This window comes from Homo sapiens, chromosome 1, assembly GCF_000001405.40.
Source record: "Homo sapiens chromosome 1, GRCh38.p14 Primary Assembly".
In the NCBI taxonomy this organism is placed as follows: Eukaryota; Metazoa; Chordata; class Mammalia; order Primates; family Hominidae; genus Homo; species Homo sapiens.
This window is the reverse complement of record NC_000001.11, coordinates 72,694,111-72,716,996: the sequence shown is the minus strand read 5'-3', so window position 1 is coordinate 72,716,996 and position 22,886 is coordinate 72,694,111. Positions and strand designations below refer to the sequence as shown.

Sequence of the window (22,886 nt, the reverse complement as noted above, 5' to 3'; positions counted from 1 at the left end):
TCAACAAAGAATTTCATATCCAACCAAACTAAGATTTCTATGCAAAGGGGAAATAAGATTCTTTTCAGATCAGCAAATGTTGAGAGAGTTTGTTATGACCAGACCTGCCTTACAAGAGATCTTGAAAGAAGAAGTAAATATAGAAAGATCACTACCAGCTAATACAAAAGCACAGTTAATTATACATACTAGTGACACTACAATGCAACCGTGCAAACAAGCCAGCATAACTTAAAAGGCATAGCGTGGCAAGCGGGATGAAAAATCAAGAACTTTTGTTATTGTGTCTTCAGGGGACCCATCTCACATGTAATGACACCCAGAGGCTCAAAATAAAAGGATGGAGGAAAATCTACCAAGCAAATGGGAAACAGAAAAACACAGGGATTGCAATCTTAATGTCAGACAAAACAGATATTAAACCAATAAAGATTAAAAAAAAAAGACAAACAAGGGCATTACATAATGGTAAAAGGTTCAATTCAACAAGAAGACCTAACTATCCTAAATATGTATGCACCCAACACAGGAGCACCCAGAGTGATAAAACAAGTTCTTAGATAACCTGCAAAGAGACACAGATTGTCACACAATAATAGTGCAAGACTCCAACACTTCACTGACAGTATTAGACAGATAGTAGGGGCAGAAAATAAAGATATTCAGGAACTGAAGTCAACATTGGACCAAATGGATCGGGCAGACCTCTACAGAACTTTCTACTGCAAACCAACAGACTATACATTCTTCTCATTGCCATATGGCACATGCTTTAAAATTGGTCACATAATTGGACATAAAACTATCCTCAGCAAATGCAAAAAAAAGCCCTGAAATCATACCAAACACACTCTCAAACCACAGCACAATAAAAATAAAAGTCAAAGCTAAGAACAGTGCTCAAAACCATGCGATTACATGGAAATTAAACAACATACTCTTGAATGACTTTTGGGTAAATAATGAAGTTAAAGAAGAAATCAAGAGGTTCTTTGAAACTAATGAGAACAAAGATATAGCATATCAGAATCTCTGTGACACAGAGCTAAGGCAGCGTTAAGAGGAAAATTCATAGCATTAAATACCTGCTTCATAAAGTTAGAAAGATCTCACATTAACAACGTAACATCACAATGGAAAGAATTAGAGAAGAACAAATCAAGCCTAAAGCTAACAGAAGACAAAAAATAACCCAAATCAGAGCTGAACTGAAGTAAATTGAGACATTAAAAAACCATTTAAAAGATCAACAAATATAGAAGTTTTTTTTTTTTTGAAAAAAAAAAATAAAATAGGCTGCTAAACAGATGAATGATGAAGAATAGAGAGAAAATGCAAATAAACACAGTTAGAAATGATGCAGGGGATGTTACCATTGAACTCCCAGAAATACAAACAACCATCAGAAACTACTATGAACACCTACCTCTATGCACACAAACTAGAAAACCTATAAGAGATTGATAAATTCCTGGACACATATGACCTCCCAAGACTGAACCAGGGGGGAACTGATTCCCTGAACAGACCAACAATGAGCTCTGAAATTGAATCAGTAATAACCTACCAACCAAAACAAGCCCAGGACCTGATGGCTTCACAGGCTAATTCTACGAGATGTACAAAGAAGAGCTGGTACCATTCCTACAGACACTATTCCAAAAAATTGAGGAGAGATTCCTCCCCAATTCATTTCGCAAGGCTGGCATCATCCTGGTACCAAAACCTGGCAGAGATATAAGAAGAAAAGACAATTTCACACCAGTATCCTTGAAGAACATGGATTCAAAAATCTTCAACAAACTACTTGATAAGTGAATCCGGCAACACTAAAAAATTAATCTACCACAATTAAGTAGGCTTCATCTCCAGGATGCAAGGTTGATTAAAAATATGCAAATCAATAAATGTGATTCATCACATAAACAAAACTAAAGACAAAAACCACACGATTCTCTCAATAAATGCAGGAAAGACTTCTGATCAAATTTAAAACCAATTCATGTTAAAAACTCTCAATAAACTAGGTATTGAAGGACCATACCTCAAAATAATAAGATCCATCTATGACAAACCCACAGCCAACATCTTACCGAATGGGCAAAAGCTGAACACATTCACCTTGAAAACTGGCACAAGACAAGGATGCCCTCTCTCACTACTCCTATTCAACATAATATTGGAAGTCCTAGCCAGAGCAATCAGGCAATAAAAAAAATAAAGGGCATCCAAATAGAAAGGAAGTCAAACTATCTCTGTTTGCAGACATGATTCTATATCTAGAAAACCCCATAGTCTTAACCTCAAAAGTTCCTTCAGCTGATAAAAATCTTCAGCAAAGTTTCAGGATACAAAAATCAGTGTATGAAAATCATTAGAATTTGTATACATCAACAACAGCCAAGCTGAGAGCCAAATCAGCAACACAATCCCATTACAATTGCCACAAAAAGAATAAAATAGAATACAGTTAACCAGGGAGGTGAAAGATCTCTACAGTGAGAATTACAAAATACTGCTCAAAGAAATTAGGGAAGACACAAGCAAATGGAAAAACATCCCATGCTCATGGATAGAATCAATATGATTAAAATGGCCATATTGACTAAAGCAATTTACAGATTCAGTGTGACTCTATCAAACTACCAATGGTATTCTTCACAGAACTAAATAAAATAATAAAAAATAAAATAAACTATTTTAAAATTCACATGGAACCAAAAAAGAGCCAGAATAACCAAAGCATTCCTAATCAAAAAGAACAAAGCTGGAGGCATCATGCTACCTGACTTCACGCTATACTACAGAGATACAGTAACCAATACAGCATAGTACTGGTACAAAAACAGACACCTAGATCAATGGAACAGAATAAAGAGTGCAGAAATAGGACCATGTATCTATGACCATCTGATCTTCGACGGAGCTGACAAAAACAAGCAATGGGGAGAAAACTCCCAATTCAATAAATGTTGTTGGGATAATTGGCTAGCCATATGCTGAAGATTGAAGCTGGACCTGTTCCTTACACCATATACAAAAATCAAGTCAAGATGGTGTAAAGACTCAAATGTAAAACCCAAAACTATAAAATCCTGAAAGACAGCCAAGGTAATACCTTCCTGGACATAGCAACGGGCAAAGATTTTATGACAAAAAATACCAAAAGCAATCACAACAAAAGCAAAAAAATTGACAAATGAGATCTAATTAAACTTCTAATTAGAGCTTCTGCACAGCAAAAGGAATTATCAACAGAATAAACAGACAACCTACAGAATGGGATAAAATTTTTGCAAATACCTAAAAAAGGTCTAATATTCAACATCTATAAGGAACCAAAACAAATTTACAAGAGAAAAACAAACAACCCCATTAAAAAGTGGGCAAAGTACATGCACAGACACTTCTCAAAAGAAGACATACATGCAGCCAACAAGCATATGGAAAAAAAGCTCAATATCACTGATGATTAGAGAAATGCAAATCAAAACCACAATGATATACCATCTCATACCACTCAGAATGGCTATTACTAAAAAATTGAAAAAATAACAGATACCTGAAAGATTTTGGAGAAAAGGGAACATTTTCACTCTCACTGTTGGTGAGAGTGTAAATTAGTTCAACCATTGTAGAAAGCAGTATGATTATTCCTTAAAGACCTAAAAGCAGAACTACCATTTCACCCAGCAATCCCATTACTGGGTATATACTCAGAAGAATATAAATAATTCTACCATAAAGACAAACACACGAATGTTTGCTGCAGCATGAGTAACAATAGCAAGACATGGAATCAACGTAAATCCCTATCAATAGTAGAGTGAATGAAGAAAATGTGGTATGTATTCACTATGAAATGCTACGCAGCCATAAAAAAAAAAAAAAAGATCATGTCTTTCGTGGAAACATGGATGGAGCTGGAGGCTATTTTCCTTAGCAAACTAATACAGAAACTGAAAACCAAATACCACATGTTCTCTCTTATAAGTGGGTGCTAAAGGATGATAACTCATCAACACAGAGAAGGAAATAACAGACACTGGGATCTACTTGCGAGGAGGAAGGGGAGCAGAAAAAATAACTATTGGATACTAGGCTTAATACCTGGGTGATCAAATAATCTCTGTACAACAAACCCCTGTGACATGAGTTTACTATATAACAAACGTTCACATGTACCCCCAAACCTAAATAAAAATTTAAAAAAAAAAACAAAAACAAAAACAAAAAACAAAAAAATGTATTTTTTAAATTTCCAGATATTTGGGGATTTTCTAGATATCTCAATTACTTGATTTTTAATTAATTCCATGGTGCTCAAAACATATTCTATAACGTTGGTTTTTTTTTTTTTTTTTTTTTTTTTTTTTTTTTTTGTAATAGCTATTCCAAATGAGGTGAGGTGGTAACTCGCTGTGGTTTTGATTTGCATTTCCACAATGATTCGGGATGTTGAGTATTTTTCATGCACATATTAGCCATTTGTATGTCTTCTTTTGAGAAATGTCTAATCATATATTTTGCTCATTTTTAAATCAAATATCTGTTGTTTGGCTATTGATTTTTTTGAGTTCCTTACATATTCTGAATACTAACGCATTGTCAGATTCAGTTTGTGCATATTTTCTTTCATTTTGTAGGTAGTCTCTTCGCTCTGTTGATTGTTTTCTTTGCTCTGCAGAAGCTTTTTCGTTTGATGTAATCTCACTTGTCTATTTTTACTTTGATTGTGTTTTTGAGGTCTTATTCAAAAAATCTTTGCCCAAATCAATGTCATGAAGCATTCACCCTACATTTTCTTCTAATAGTTTTAATATTTTGAGTCTTACATTTAAGTCTTTAATCCATTGAAATGCTGATGAGGATGTGAAGAAAGGGGAAATCTTATACATTGCTGGCAGGAATGTAAATTAGTACAGCCATTATGGATAACAGTAGGGAAGTTCCTTTAAAAAGTAAAATAACATGGGACTACCATATGATCCAACAATACTACTACTGGGTATATATCAAAGAAAATAAAATCAATATGCCAAAGAAATATCTCCACTCTCAGGTTTACTGCAGCGCTATTCACAACAGCTTAGACATGGAATCAACACCTAAGTGTTCATCAATAGATGAATGGATTTTTAAAATGTGGCACATATACACAATGGAATACTATTCAGCCATAAAAAGAAATGAAAACCTGTCATTTGTGACAACATGGATGAAACTTATAGACAATGTTAAGTGAATTAAGCCAAGCACAGAAGGACAAATACTGCATGATCTCACTCCTACTGGAAATTTTTAAAAAATTGATTTTTAGAAGGAGAATAGTAATTGCTACAGGCAGGGGAGGTGAGGGAGAAAGGACTGTTAAAGGGACGGGTTAGTCAACAGGCATACAGTTATAGTAAGATAGGAGAAATAAGTTCTTGTTCTATTGCACAGCAGGATGACGGCAGTTAACAATAATGTATCATATATTGCCAAATGGCTGAAAGCGAGGATTTGGCACGTCCTCACCACAAAGAAAGGACATGTGTTTGAGGTGATGAATATGCTAACTTCCCTGATTTGATTATTACAATAGGTATCAAAGCATCACACTGTACCCCATAAATATATGCAATTATCATGTCAATTTAAAACAAAACTTTAAACATTTATTTTGAAATATATTGAGACTTACTGAGTGTTATATATTGAGGCTAAACATATAAACTATCTCAGTTTTGATTTTATGTAAGACAATACATATACAAAATGTACATTCTTTATCTGTTGGTTTCTTTAATTGAAATATTATTACTTGAACCTCATTAATGAAGGACATCTTCATGGGATACAGAATTTTTGGCTGACTTTTAATTTTTTTTGCCATTTAATGATGAGGTTTTCTTGTCTTCTGATTTCTACTGTATCTGTTAAAAAATTCAGCCATCAATTCTTATAGTTGTGCCATTGTACATAATGATTCATACTTTCTTTTTATTTTTCTGGCTTCTTTATCTGTTATACATGGCTCTCTTTTCTCTAGGACTGTGCCCTGCATTCTCAGCTGCCTCAGCATTCCCTAACTCCTCTATTCATTTGAGGGCTCCTACCTCCTGGACTGTTCAGGAAAAGGCCCTGCAGAAAAAAAAAAAAAAGTGAGGAAAATACTACACACTTCCTTTCTATGTTTGCTTTCTTTCACAATCCTGTGCTGCCCCGTATCCAATGCCTGAAGCTCATTGTTCATAAATATATTCTTCAGTTTTATAATTGTGAGTAAGGTAGGGTAACTCCAATACCAATTATTCCTTTGTGCATATGAAAATCACACTTTAATGGGGAAATAGATAGTAAACAAGATAATTAATTTTAAAACTTCTATGTTAGGTGCTAAAGACTAAGAAGAAAATAAATCAGAAGCATGGATAAGGAAGGTTGTGTAGGTATGGTGGGGGAGCAAAGAACATCATAAAAGAAGCATTTGATACTTTTGAAAAATCATGCAATGAAAGATTCACTGTGAAAATGTTCTTAGAAGAAAGTTAAGAGAGCCATGCAGATATTGGCAGGAAGGGCCTTCTAAGACAGAGGAGTAGCCAGTACAAAAGGGTATGTGGCAGGAATACATATGGCATGTTGGTAGGAAAGTGAGGTGGCCATTGAGACTAGACCTAAATGAAGGAGAGAGTGCTAGGAAATGAATTTACAGGTATAAGTGAGGATCAGATTGGGTAACATTTCCATCACTTGCAAGAATCTATTGCTTTCTTTGAGCATAATAGGAAGCCAGCAGAGGGCCTTGAGCACAGATATTTTACTATCTCTGGCTTTTATGTGACACAAAAAGTCCTTGGGAACCAGATTTAGGTCTCTGAAACAAACTTGAGTCCTGTGAATGTGGTGGAGTTGCAAAGCCTTTGTGTTTGGAGGAAACTTACCTGACTGGTTGTATACCACAAGGTTGTCTTGATGTACTATGCCTCGCTAATCTCAGAGCAGTTTGGGCCTGCCACTGGACATCTCTGGACCTCAATCAAGGAATATTCTGTACAATCATTGGCCAGCTGCCTAAGCTAAATTGTGCCAGTTAGCTTTTACCTTAGTAAAATAACTTCTACATTCTCAGGTATGAGAATATTTTCCATAGGGGGGATTCCACAGTTATTTAGTTTTTTAATTTAAAGGACAGTGACTGTGCTGTGATCTTGAGTGAAGAGTTTATTCACAAATCACTCAATGAAAGCACATCAGTTTGATTGCTTGGATTATAAAGTACACCTCTATTCCAAGTGGCTTAAACAATAAAGGGGAATCATTGGCTCCTGTAACTTGAAGTTACAGTGGTTCAGTAATGTCATCAAGGACTCAATTTCTTTCAGACTCTCTGTTGTGCCATACAAAAATCTGGCTTCACGCTACATCTGGCTTCCCTGTAAGTGCTAATATGGCTGCCAGCAGTTGGGCAACATGGTACATTCCCATCCAGCAGCACAGAGGACATCAAATAAATATCTGACTTTCCTACTAATTGAAACACTGTGAACAGGTCCCTGTGTTCAGGGGAGTGTCATGTTATGACTGGTCAAGACTTAAGCTACGTGAAATATTGTGGAAAGAGAGATAGGATAGCCCTTATTGATTTAAACAACAGGGAGCCTACCTTTTGTGACAGAAGTGAAACTAATATCACCCTAATCAAAGCTGATACAGCATGGGAAAGAATGGAATGGGTGCTGAAAAGAAGATGAAAATAAAGAAATAAAATTCACCAGTGCCAGGATGTCTTCATTCGGTCTACTCATATCTAGAAAGCAGACTCAGCAGACTCCAGTTTTCATCCTCACAAGTGGCAGACAGGATGAAGATCACTAGCATCTGAGTCCTCCTTGGAATGAATGGGCTCTACCACTGTTGTGGAGCTGTCAGTTATGATGGTATAGGATTGAGCTATATTAGGAGAAAGTAGAGATAAAGTAAAACAGAGTATTTTAGAGCTGCTAAAAGTTCTGATTATGGCCACAGAACAGAAAAACAGGTTTCAACAGGTGAATTTTCAAAGCAGTTTGGAAAAGAAGGCAACCTCCATTAATCACTGGATATCTCTGATTGCTTTTGAAGACCTCTCATTTTAAAAACATTAATATTCATCCAAGAATATGAGAGCACAATTGTTAAGTTGTAGCTTAGGATTTTTCTTTTGGAGATAGAAGTATATCTTGCAAGTGTGATTACAGTTGGCTACAAAATTTGCTTAAGCACAAAGAGAATAGAAAATGAATATATCAATAATATTTTGTAACAATAAAAAGAAAAATAGTAATGGTAAATGCTCACATTTAACCGAGTACTTGCTGTGTAGTAGCAAAGAAATTTACATGTGTTTACATATTTGATCCCATAATTCTATGAAGCAACTGAGATATAGAGAACTTAAACACCTTACTTAGACTCCGGGCCAGCAAGCAAAAAGCATAGCTGAGAGATGCTCGCAGGCACTCTGACTTTAACACTCATCCTCATAAGTATTCATCTCTGTCTAGGAAGTCATGTAAGATCTTTTTCATTAGTTGTTACAAAATGTATACGTAAACTGATGAGATTTGACTGAAAATATGTTTCTATATTCATCATCTTTTTTGATCCTTCCTGTAACCCCGAAAACTTAGATTTTATAGGATTGGCACAAAATATGGGAGGCTGAACACAGCTAATTAACATAGATCACATATACTGGGGTTCTGGAAAAGATCCACATACTGAGTTTATTTCACAGGAATCTAGGCCCCAAGCTATAATAGCATAATTTAATTACATACCGTCTTCAGAGATATCTCCCCAAATTTACAAATGAGTTGCACATTTACTGAAACCAAAAGAATGGGAAGAAAATGTAAGATAAGCTAGAATAGGGTGGGAGTAGAATGAGAAGCAAATTCAGGAAGCTGAAAAAAGATATTAAAATAATCACTAAAAGAAGGATATAGGCTTGAATAAGGTATAGAGTTGAGTACAGAGTCAGAAGAATAGAAAGAACCATGGGAAAGAGCATAAAATGCTAGGTCGAACATGTATGTGGATAGACATTCTTGAAGTACTAAAAAGAAAGGAAGGCTGACCTTTGCTGACTGTAATTGTTCTATGTGTTCATAATGGAACATCCATTTAAGAATACAGATAATAAGCAGGCAACTTCAATAACCCAAAACAATATTTATCTTTTCTATGGATTTTTCCAAACCAACAATATGTAAGTGCCAATTCATTATTTGTTTCCTTTAATTTATTTACTTCCCACCCATTAAGTTTCCAGTTCTGCACTGGTGTTCTGTTATTGTTTACTCCTTCAATCAAAAGCTCCTGAGTGTTTAGAGTGTGTTCAGTTCTGTGCTTAGACTCTGGTTCTAGAGATGACAAAAACACAATTCTTGGCTAACAATCCCTTAAAGGAGACAAGCATGTTAATCATGAGATCACAATTTAATGAGTGCCATGAATGTAACACAGAAACTGATTCCTGATTTACTGACTGGAAACATTTGATACATAAGTATTTAAAATTAACATGAGATGAGATTAAAAAGAGCATCTGCTCAGAAATCAGGTATCCACACAAAAGAAAGAAAGAAAAAAAAAAGATTGCAAGAAAGGAACCCAGCAGAGGAGAGCAGCCTCAAGAATAACTGACTGCAGACATAAACAACCACAGGGCCTGAACCAGTTTTCTTATCATTGCCACAAAGAGAGAATAATAACAATAAAGACAAATGGCAGGGTCACCAACTCAGATATGAAAATTGCCAATAAAAACCAATACATCAGACATATTAGAAAAGAAACTTTGCTTTGAGAATGAATCATAGACCCTTGTGATCACTGAAGCCTGTAATATAGCTCTAGAATATTTCAGCTACTTATTATTCCATCCTATCAGATTTAGAAAAACGACAGGCTGAATGCTCAGCCTGTCTAAGCTATTTCAGAAATTAATTCCAAATATTAAACCAAAGAGAACTGCTGCAAAATGTAAGGAGCATACAAGCTTGCTAAGCCTGAATGGTGATAATAAAACTTGCACGGGTGCTACAGTGTTCTAATCAATGTCTAATTGACTCACTAATTAAAAAATTCTGTCATATAGTTTTTCTATAGCTAAAAAGCCTACTAAAATCTGGGAATTTATTTTTGAGCTAGAGTTTATAGTCAGACATTTGTTACAAGTCAAAAAGTTCAACAGCTACTTTAAAAATATATTTATATTTTAGATGGGTTCTCATTGACTGGTAGTCAGCCAGCTGCCAAATTTTTAGGTATTCTTTTTCTAATATAAGTCCATATTAATTCTCAACTAACATAGCACAGCTACTTGACCAATATAGTAGGCAGAAAAATAATGAAGGATATGGATACTTTCCCAAGTAAACTAATGAAAAATACTAAGCCTTATTGTATCTTGAATAGGTGATAAGCAATGTTATTCTGATATTTAAAAAACTGTATAGAAATACGTGCACACACATATGTATAAATAAATATATACTCACACAATTTTTTTCTTGGAAAGCAGGCCTTCTCCAGTTGCAAGCCCAGTATATTGAAGCAAATCATATAAATCAGCTAATCTTCTTGATTTTATAAAGAAACATGTTTAAATCATCCCAAATGCATGGGAATTTATCTTATTTTATAATAACATATATCTAAAATGTTTTCCTTTTAGTTACTTCCATTTTACAACACACACACACACACACACACCCTTGATATTTGCCTATGTACACTAAGTAAAATAGTGTCCCTATTTGCCGAGTAGTAGTAAACAGAAGAATTGATCGCTACGACAGAGCCTTCCATTGCCCACAAGAAAGCTGCTCCATGAGCTTAACATGATCCCGCCCACCTGCTACCCTTATTTAATCTAGAAATAGACACTTTACTGAATCTGAGTCAGTTGCAATTTCTCCCGATGAATACAGATTTGAGAGTAAGAAATATTATGTTGAGTCACAGCCAAATTGCATTAATGGCTTTTCTCTTGAGTGAAAGTTAAAATTCTATAGAAACCTTGAAAGATACTGTGTGATTGATTTTCCAACTCCTTTTTGGATTATGGTGATAGGTTTTAAACAGGTATCTTTCTAATAAATTCCCTTTTTCTCTTTATGTTACCAAAACACTGTAACCAAATAAATTCAAATCAAACAGCTGGGTTTCTGGTTTGTTCCATTATTTTGCTGTAGGCACACACCACCTACCTTATTCTTACTAAAGTTCCACCTGTTATTAAACAAAAATCAAACAACTTATCCTTTCTGCACATAAAGAGGATGGCACATCTCTGTCCTCCAACCATACAAAAAGTTTCTTCTCTGGGCTAAATAATGATAGTTCCTTTTTAAAAATTAATTATTTACTTACCCCCAAGTTTACTATTTACTTTAGAAGTTCCATTTTAGTTGAATCTTGCTTATCTGTCAATACCAAGAGCTTTAGATGCCTAATATGAGAAAGAATAAAGAAAGAGAAAGAAAGATGAAAGAAAAAGAAAGAAAGAAAGAAAAAGAAAGAAAGAAAGAAAAAGAAAGAAAGAAAGAGAGAGAGGAAGGAAGGAAGGAAGGAAGGAAGGAAGGAAGGAAGGAAGGAAGGAAGGAAGGAAGGAAGGAAGGAAATATCCCCTGTTGGATATAGTGCATATCACTATATCCAATCCCAGTACATACAAGAGGCGTAGCAAATTGTCAAAGGGCTTTCATGAATTCTGTGACATCTCCTACTAGCAAACTTTCCTTTTATTAATTGACTTCAAAATAACAGCCATTGATAGTTATTAAATATAAAACAAAAAAGCAAATTTAGCTTCTGAACAGACTCCAGAAAAGATAACTTAAGAGGAAGTATGTAATTGTTGTATTTGGCTGCTTAGATTCCCCTGCAGGTCAGAAGAACCTGTGCTCCCATCTGCGAGGAGTGCTCCTGGAAGATAATGCTCAACTATATGTTTCAGGAAATCTCAGAAAATTGCCCTTAGTTGAAGAGCCCTGCATTGCTCAAGGTCATACCTCCTTCCTGAAGAAGCCTACATCCAATGCCTGGTTGATATAAAAGTATGGACACCCGGGCTCCTCCCAGCAACAAAAGGCCACTGAAGGGCCATCTATTAACAGCTCCAGAGCTCCCATGTAATTGGTTGAAACCTTGTTGAGACTGATGCCTGCAAGAGTTTCTCTCACCTCCCAGTCCTATCTCTATCTCTTTCTTCTACAGGTGCTGACTCCAACTGCACTTCCTAATAAACTCCTAGCATTTTAATCTCTTTCTCAGAGTTGGCTTTCACAGAATCCAACCTGCAACACATACCTAGAAGAAAAAGATTAATTGAGAAAAACATGGCCAGGCACCGGTGGCTCATGCCTGTAATCCCCACACTTTGGGAGGCCAAGGCAGGAAGATCACCTGAAGTCAGGAGTTCAAGACCAGCCTGGTCAACATGTTGAAACCCCATCTCCACTAAGAATACAAAAAATTAGCCAGGTGTGGTGGCACGTGCCTATAATTCCAGCTACTTGTGAGGCTGAGGCTGGAGAATTGCTTGAACCCAGGAGGCAGAGGTTGCAGTGAGCCAAGAAAAGCATATATACATTTAAGTAAACAAAAACATAATAATACATAAATTGTAGCTACTTGATTCTATTAGCTTTTCAATTTATGATGTGCATCATACTAAATATTTTTCCTGTTAACACTAAATGCTTTACATATTAATACTAAACACCTTAATTGCATTACTTCTGAGCTTTTGTATGTGCATTATACTGGACCATTTAGTTGCATTACCTTACTTAACCCACATAGCAACCTTATACGTAGGCATCATTATTTATCAGGTTTACAGATGAAGAAAATTAATGCTTAGGAAGTTGAAACAACTTGTTCAAGATCAAATAGCCAGTAAGTGGCAGAATCAAGAGTAAAACCAATTAAGTTTAATTGCAAACCCACTTATTTCACCACTTCTATAGGTACTATCCCAGATCTCAAATCAGAAGCAGAATCTACAATTCTGCTTTTTTCTTTTTTTTTTTTTTCTTGGAAAGCAGGCTTTCTCCAATTGCAAGCCCAGAATCTACAATTTTCCTTCTGATTTGAGAAATGAACCTATAACATGGATACTTCCTGTGCTACATTCCTTTCTTAAGTTGTTGGCTGAAAGTCCAGAGTTGATTAGAACAATTCTGGTCACACATCTGACCAGTGGCAGAAGATACTTGCTAATAAGTTTTCATATGCTAGTCTATTATTTGGGTTCTTGAGCACTTTGCTTGTTTGATGAAGAAAAGATTTTGCAATACACAGTTCAATGTGTTGAATTATGAGTGGTCACTCTTCAGAGAGTTAAAGTTTTAGAGACAGAGAATATTATTGGTTGAAGACATATAAATAAATGATTAATGTTGGGAGAATACATTGATCAAGTTAATCACAAGTGAAAAGAGACAAAATTTTCTCCTTAACATTTTCAGATACCACTCAAGCTAATTTTGAAAAGTTCTCAGAAAATATGCATAAGGTTTGTATGTCTGAGCAATGTAATCAAGATTTAATCAATAAAAATAAGCTTAGACTCAGATCATTTTTCATGTTTCTTTGATGTATCTTTTCCAATTAAAAGACAACTAACTTATAATGTGTACCACTAATACAGAAAGACAGAGTGAACAATATTTCATTTTCTTTGTCTCAGTGCTTTTGGTTTATTTGAAACAAATATATCTATCTAAACATTATGGGTTTCCATTTAATATGTAAAACTTTACTATTAGCTATAGCAAGTACTTGAAAGAATAGAAAAAAAATTATAACTATAAAAGAGTTAATTAAGCAACATTTGTTTTGTTAGATAGTACAATTTCTCAATTGTAGAGTACAGTTTATTTGAATAAAGTCAATATACATCTCAACCAAAATAAAAAATAAAACCAGCATTGCAAATTATATTTTTAGAGACACAATCATACAATATTGCTTAAATAATAAAATATTGAGATACGAAGTATTTTCACATTGAGCCGTTCCTTTAGAGCACCTGGATAACAGATTTCATGCCTTCTTAAAGAATTCTAGCAATTAGAATAGAAGATATATTTTGTTTCGTTCATTTAGAAGGAAATGATATTTCATTTCAGGTTATCAATGTAGAGAAACTGTATTTGCAATATAATAAAATATATCATCTATCAAGCAGAATCATCAAGCCATACAAGCCATGAAGTTGGAGTAAATCTGTCTTCTGAAATAGAAAAAGAAATATAGAACTATTCTTATATATTACCTATTTATATTGGCACATGTGCAATGTAGAGAAGGTATTGTTAATTCTGGGCTTTTCTACATATTTCAGTGCACTTTCATCTTAGTTCACCCTGTCAAAAGATCTGAAACTATGGTCACTGAATCTACAGAAATATACTGAGTTAACCATTTTTATTCAACTGAAAGAAATGCATAGAAATTAGGTTGCCTTGGATATGCAATCTAGGTCAATACACTGGAATAAGTTTTGTACTTGAAGCTTGCTAGCAATCTATAAATGGAAGCATTTATCTAGATGTCCAATTGACATATGCACAGGGTTTGGGCATCCCAATATTTTTAAAAAATGTGATTCACTGTATTAACCAAATAGAGGAAGAGGTTAAATAAGTCCCCTAAAAATTCATAGCTAACAGACATCATGATGAAGTTTCAAATCTCATGTACTTTCCAAAAGAAGGTATTTGTGTTTGAGGTTTTTACTTTGTGTTAAAAGAGTTATTTTTGATTGTAAGAAAATTCAGATTATAGGAGGGAGGCACAAGTGTATTGAATTTTTCTGAGAATTTGATGATTTTATTTGAAAAATTATAGCATAGAAAATCATTTGGGCTCTATTTCCAGGTGCCCTTCAATAAAATAAAATAAAAACAAGAACCTGGAGATGTGGAAGTAAGGTATAGACAAAGGATGAAGATGACTTCCACAAGTTTAAAGGGATTTGTTAGTGGGGTAATCTTAGTAGGCCAGGTAAACACATGCTGTAATGGATACAAAATGTCCACTAAATCAATGAAAGCCATTGACCAAAATATTATATAGCTAATGTATTGATTTCTTTTGTGTAATAATTATAAAGTGCCTTATATGCATTATCACATTTAAAACACTGAAAACATTCTTAGGAGGTGTTTATTGTCCTACTATTATCGTTATAGATGAGGTAAATTACACTAAAAGAGATTAAATGTAACAGGACACAAAATAGGTAAACATTTACATTGCCCTCTTCTGTTTTCTAAGGAAGATGGTTTCCTTGCTTCTTTAACATATCTCATGAGGTGCTTGACTCAGCTTTGCTCTGCTGAGTGCTGAGGCGAAGTCTGAGGAAGAGAATTTGGGAAGCCAAAAGAACGATAAGTTGCTATACATGAGATCAGAGAAACATAGATGAATGGGAAAGAGGGAATGCAGAGGGTTGGAAAGAATAGTGTTGCAATCCTTTGAAAAAGAGATCCATTGAGGGAAACTGAGAGAGGTGTGAGAATACCCATCAACGTGTGAGTAACCATAAAGGGTGGAAGTTTTGACAAAAGGGTAGTCATACTCCAACAGGATTTTTAGGATGTTTTGTGATAGAATATATCTATCAGTGTCTCCCAAATATTACAGGAAAGGGTTGTCATTTTCTTCAATTCTTTGCTGTAAGTTAGGATTATCATTTATACATTAACTTGATGAGATTTTATTTAAAGAGAATTCAGTAGTCTCAAAAGGTAAATTCATTGTCAATTTTATCAGGAAATTATCCAAATTCACACAACTAGTAAGTAGTAAAGCTAGAATTCCATCCCATCTATCTAACTTCCAGCCTCTGCCATTAATCACCTCCTTTTATTGCTTTTGTCTCCCAAGCATTTCTCTTTCCTCTGGAGAAAAATATCTGCTTTCTTTAAAATAAATGTTCCATCCATGCAGCTAAGCAGCTAAGGACACGAACAGCCACTGATACAGGCCAACTCATCAGTAGATTATTGAGGTATTAAAATATATTAAATTATTACATTATTATTTATTTATTTTTAGAGACAGGATCTCACTCTGTCACCCAGGCTAGAGTTTAGGGGTCTAATTATAGCACACTGCAGCCTCAACCTCCTGGGCTCAAGCAATTGTACTGCCTCAGCCTTCCAAGTAGCTGGGACTACAGGCCCATGAAACCACACCTGGCTTTTTTTTTTTTTTTTTTTTTTTTTTGAGATGGGGGGGTCTCCTTATGTTGCCCAGGCTGATCTTGAACTCCTGGCCTCAAGCAATCCTCTTGTCTGGCCTCCCAAAGCCTTGGTATTACAGACATAACCCACCATGCCTGGCCTTAGTCATTAAATTATATGCTACTTAAAACATCACTTCTTGTGGCATTGCTACATCCAACCAGTTATTTGAAATTACAAATTTTAAATTACAGTCTTATTAGCTGGGACAAGACTTTTGGTATAGAAGATTGGGATTCCTCCCTCTGCCCCCAAGGGAAAAAACTTTCAAATCTGGGTAAACAAAATATATAATAAAAAGTAACTATACTTTCTAGGTGAAAATAGATAGATGTCAAATGAATAAATGTTGAAAATCTATACCAGCGGAGGCAAAGGTACTTTAGAAAACCATTAGAGAATCAATATACATGAGCACAGTTTTAAAGAATAATCAGGATTTTTCCATACGAAAGGGTAGTTTTACAATATTAGAGGGATAGAGACAAATATATAAAGAGAAAGACACTTGTAAAAATTGCAACATTTTTGAAGACTAATGATAAATTCAATTCTATTTCTCTGTTGATAAACTCCTTTGTGTTTGAACTGTAGGTTTTAGCTAAGGTTATTTTACTTAGCTTTCTTGCTTCCTTATAAATGTTGCTGACATTTGGAATAACTGTGGCTACTTATTCAAAGAATCTGTGTCCACCAGGATATATGGAGCTTCAGCTAAATCCAAAATGCTAAAGCATGTTTATTTTCATTTATTTTTAATCAAATAAAACAACTAATAAATAAATAAATAATCTTAGGTAAGGATTACTAGTAATTTAACAATTTTGTGAAACTTTTTCTGGAGTTTTAACCTTTCCAACATTTTGCTATCTTGTATTCAACCTTATGACTCAGACGAAGATTTGTTTCATCAGAAATTTGTTTAATCTTCTTTATGTGAATGCAAACCTGAGTTTTGAAGTCATATCAGCATTCTCAGACCATATTTTCTCTTGATTGCTCTGCCTGGGTTTGCTAGAGTATTAAGTTTCTCAAACTAAAATAATTTGACATGTTTTCTTCTAAAATCAATTTTCTTTAGAAATAAGCCCCTTGAAGTTCCTATTAGTAACAGTGATTCTTTCTATGTTAGTCTGTGCATGCCTGCCCTAACAGCCAGGGAATACAAGATGGCTGCTTTTGCATTGTTTAGTCCACCAAAATAGCTGTTTATGATCATGCTGTATGTTCATACTTAACAGCTCTTCTCAATCCATTTAGCTATTTCTACACGTATTTCAAAAAGAACCCTGCTTTTCATAAAATCTTTTGAACTTTCTTCTTTCAAAAATATGTAGTGCAACACTAGAAACATGTAATATTCCCCCACCTATATCAAATGGTTTCTAGCACATTTTCTTGAAAAGGCAGATATCCAATAAATTTGTGTTGATTTATTACTCTTTTCAGTTGAACAATGTTTGTAATAACTAATGTCTACAGTTCTTTGAGAGCAAAAGGGAAAATTGTGCCTCTATGGTTTTCTTAGGAATCATTCTCTTCAGTCAGATCACGATTTGAGTTTGAACTAACCAGAGAGTAGCAGAAGGAACGTTTTCTCATTTCCATGTCCAGAAAGATATATTCCTGCTACCCTCCTGAAGTCAGAGGATGAAATCATAGTCAATACATCTTTGCAGATAAACTATTAGGTACATTTTTCTTTGTCTATAGAAATCAATGGAACACAGAAAACTACAGCTTGCTATCCCCTCAACCCCTTGGAAAAAAAAAAGTTGGGTAGAGGGTGTTTTTGAGTGTATGTGTGTTTCAAGCTTCATTTGGGTCCATTTGTTTTTTGCTACCACCGGTATATTAAGTAGCATTTGTATAAATCAAAATCATATGAGGGTATGAGATTATCAGGGGCAACAAACTTTCAGTCTTTGGAAAATCCATCACATTGTTCTCAGTGAAGAATCAAACTGTATAGCTAAGGAGCATAGATATACTGAAATGTAGCCCACTTTGAAGAGAAGGAAGGGAAACTAAGCTCTACTTCCTGGGGAAAAAAAAAGAGTATCTGTCTATATTATGTGGGATTTTTCTCCAAAGATTTCTTTCTACTCTCTTATTGATTTAATCTTTTATTTATATTAATATGTATTCATGAATATTAATTTTTTACTTTGGATTATAATTCAATAGTATGTTATTTGTGTATTCTGTTGCTAAATTGTTCTACCATGTCCTTGTGGGAGCTCTCTCAGGTTGGAGCTTTGTGTCCCTTTGACATGCCCTCATCTTTTTGTTTCTTGAACACTTTCTTGCTTTCTGGTATTACAAGATGCTCAAGACTCATTGTTCAATTTTCTCACCACAGACCTAGGATTGACTTTACTTTTAATTTCTGAAAATAATTTAGTAGACCTCTAGGCTCCATCTCCTCAAGAAGCTGTGGTGTCCTATTATCTTGAGGTCACCAAGATAATTTCTCACTGAATCTTAAGAGTCACACCATATATGCACCATTCTAAGCCTGACTCAAAGTTCTCATAACTGTAATATCATTTTATTATATCTAATTTCCTCCCAGTTCAAATGTCTGTTGTCTCATGAGAACCTTTTCTATCAGTCAGGATCTTGGAATGAAACATACATCATGCTCAATCTTGTCATTTGAAGAGATTTTGATAGTGGAGTTATTTATAAAGTACATACAGGGTTTAGTAAGGTATAATGCAGTGCTCTAGACCTAGTAAAAATAGGAAGCTATTATTCTAAGCCTTTAAGGCCACTGGAGGGAATGATCACCAAAACCTGGAGAAAATAGCTGTAGGTGGAAAGGTTCTGAAGAAGAATGCAGCAAGCTCAATAAAGCCAACCCATTCTTTTGACCACTGTCTCCTTCCACTTTCAGATTTCATACTAGGACCTTTCATTGGCTGAACAAAGACAAAGACAGAAATCAAGGAAGGTCAAAGAAGCAGTCAGTTTTCTGGCACCCAAAGTTGTTGGAGAAGGGTACAGAGTCGGTAAATAAGTCATATGACAGACAGGCAGTATTTTCTTATTTTAATAACAAGTTTAAAAATCCCACTTCTTGTACTTACCTTCTGTCTGACGTCATCAGTATTTTAAAATGCCAACTGGGATCAAGTTCAACACTGCATTACTGAAGAATCCAGATTATCTACATTTCAAGTGCCAAATGAAAGAAAGAACCCAGAAAATAAAACAATATGATGATAACAGTAAAATTTTTTAAAATGAAATTTATGGTCTAAATCCTGATCATTAATGGTTATTTCATATTGAAGCAATGAGGCCTGTTCTTCATTCTGAACATAGGGTAAAGGTGAAATCTTTTCACATATTTATTTATTTAGCCAATTTATACATATAGTGAATTTTAATTATAACTTAATAGTATGCCTCCTTATTATGCATATAATTGGGCCTATCTGAATTTTCTTTGGAATTGTGCCTCCAATTTACCATATTTTTTTAGGCAACTCTATTTTAATTACTAGTTGAATATGATGGGTAAATTTTATTGTTCTCTCTTTTGATTTTGAAAAAAAGAGGGAAACCTTAACTTCTCAGATTTCTGAGAAAAATAGAGCTCATGAAAACACACACACAATCACACACATGTCTTCAATATCTTTGCAAAGATACTGGAAAGGGGAAAAGTTCTGTTTCCTTCTTTCATGAGTATCATAAATTTCAGTAAAAGAGAAAATTTGAGCATTTCCCAAGGTAATCATCTTTCTGCCAGCCATCATACTATTACTTCGTAAAATCTTTGCCATCCCACTCTATTTTCTACCTTCTCATTCTTAAAATTTCCAAAGCTTCACCAAATCCTCATTCTCTGTTGATGGCCTACCCCCATGGTTCAATAAGAAAACAAGCACTATTTTGCTAATATATCTGGGCGGATACAAAATACAAAATAATATTATGCCACCATACCAGACTGGAATCATAGCTTTGTTTACCTGTGTACTTAATTTTAAAGATAGAAAATAGTGGAACATAATTGTTTGCTAAAGATCACACTTGAATAGAAAAGAGATGGTAAAAGAAGAAACTTGATTCTATCAAGATTAGTTTTTAAAAGAATGATAAACATTCCATCCATTGCAATAGTTAAAACCATAAAGAGTGTGCAGATGTAGACTAAGGTACTTTTATGTATTTAGGGTTTTACATTAATGATTTACCTCCTAATGACCTCTAGGTGACCACAGTCAATGGTTACATCTGTATTATTATCTTACTCAACTTCAAGCATCTTTGACCAACTTGGTTTCTCCCAACTTCTTTATTCTTCTTTACTTGTGTTCTTTACGTGCCTTTCCTTATACCAGTCTCCTGATCAGGGAGGATATTTAGAAAGAGTGGAAAAGTGAGGGAATGGACAAGAGATACAGTTTCCCTACCAAATCTACCTAAATTAGGAATCCATGTCCTAAACTAACAGTATTATTTCTTCACAGAGCATTTTATTTCTCTCATAACTTTTTTCAAGTTCACATGTATTTATTAGTTATTGTCTGTGTGTTCAACTAAATTTTATCAAGAGGGTCCAAGAATAGTGTTCAAAGCTATATTCAAGTATACAATACAGTGTCTGGCAAGAGTGGATGCTCAACCAATAATTCTAAAGTAAATCAATGAATGTAACATGGTTCAGGCCAAGGAATGAAAATAAACCAGAAGAAATGGATGGGTAGAACAGGAGCAGGTATAGTAAGTTAAACTTGAAAAAAACAGTTAACTTACAAGTTAAACATGAAAAAACCAGTTAAATCCATGATAAGAAGAGAGGGTCAGACAAGTCTCATTAAACTCTCCTCTCTTTGGAATTCAGACACAACTAACCAGCATTAACATTAAAAAAGATATCTTATAACAGACAAAACAAACTCTTTGTAGCAGTAAGATATCAAATTCCAACCTGCCTCTAGTATAACATCATATGACAGAGACCAAGCCCTGAAAGAAAATGAAGTATTTTACCCAAGATATATTTTATGACATATTTTGATATGGCCTCACAAAGCTGTCTCTTGTAGGGAAAATCTACATTCTGTAGAAAAATCAGATTCGTTTTCCTGGTTTTTTCCTCGTCCAGGAGAGATTTAATTAAGAGTCTGGAGCACCTTTTAGAGTCTGATAAGAGACATTTATCATTTATTCTATCTAATGCCTGCTACCTGGAGGCTTCATCTACACAACAAGACCCCTGGCTTCCACAAGCCCCCTTATCTTAACAATAAACATTTCTTTCTGCTAACTTCACTCCTTCAGGTAGAGTTTAACCCTTTCAACCAATTATAATTCAGGAAATCTTTAAATCCATCTATAAGGTGGAAGCCCCCCACATCACTACTTTGAGATGTCCTGCCTTTATGGGATGAACCAATGTATATCTTACATACATTCATTTATGTCTCTGCCTGTAACTTCTGTCCCCCTAAAATGTTTAAAAAAAAATGTAACCCAACTGCCTTGGGCACATGTTCTCAGGGTCTCCTGGGGCTATATCATGGGTCATGGATCTTACATTTATCTCAGAATAAATATCTTCAAATATTTTACAGAATGTGACTCTTTTGTTGACATAAGTTACATTCCCTGAAGATCTAAAATTGTCACCACATAGGAACTCTTTCATTTAGCTTATATAAATCAGGCAAAGTCTAGAAATCATAACCAGGTGAAAATTATACAATTGCACTGCTCTACCTTTGTTAGCTAATACTGACTTTACCTCTTTTTTTTTTCCTTTTATCATTTTGCTGTTTCTCACACTCTACCCTGGTTCTGTGCTTAATTACTCATTCTTGGACATTCATAAGAGCTCATTCTTTCTACATTTTTCATCTGATATTGTTACAGTGGGTAGAGCAGGAAAGGGATCCCCAGCCCCCAACCAGAAATGTCAACTGACCATCAGGTGATGATCAGGTGGTTGTTACATTGTTTCTCAAAATAATAATCAGTCACAGCCAGTGCCAGGGAAAGGCAATCTCCCAATAGATAGAATAAAACTGAAAGTGGTAATCAGCAGCTTCCCAATAAGACTTCAAGAATTAGGCAAGTAGGGCCAAGCACGAACATTAAAAAGGCAAAATGGCAGACTGGTATATGGCTTTCTAGGGCTATTCAACTGCTAAGGGAAGAATGCCTCAAGTAAGCATGCGTACAACTCCAATAAACACACTGTGCATGCTTGCATGCTCCCCTCCCAGGTGCTCGCAGTCCTCTGTGCATGTGGACAGCTCACCCCAAGAGAAGAATCAGGGAAGAAGGGACAGAAGGCTCAGAAGTATGCCAACTTCTAAAATCCTAAGTTGAAGATCATACCATGCACTTGATCTCTTAAGTCACCTGTTTGGCCCTCTTCCAAGTGTACTTTATTTTCTTTAATTCTGGCACTAAAGCTTTGTAATAAACTTTCACTTCTGCTCTAAAACTTGCCTTGGTCTCCTCTGCCTTATGCCCCTTAGCCAAGTTCTTTCTTCTGAGGAGGCAAGAACTGAGGTTGCTTGTAGCCCTATATGGATTCACCAGCAGTAACATACTTTGGTGCCACATGACTCA

General features: G+C 34.9%; 1 long non-coding RNA gene across 4 annotated transcripts in view; it reads left to right on the top strand.

Moving 5' to 3' along the window:
* The window catches only part of LOC105378798 (uncharacterized), a 69,237-nt gene extending 49,691 nt beyond the window's left edge, over positions 1-19,546 (top strand). For 2 of the 4 annotated variants that reach the window (NR_188684.1, NR_188685.1), the window contains exons 4-5: positions 15,934-16,057; positions 19,192-19,546. This is a non-coding gene — a long non-coding RNA (uncharacterized LOC105378798). The remainder of the gene's footprint in view (positions 1-15,933; positions 16,058-19,191) is intronic. The other 2 variants (NR_188687.1, NR_188686.1) reach the window with 1 other exon arrangement.
* The last annotated feature ends 3,340 nt before the right edge of the window (positions 19,547-22,886 follow it).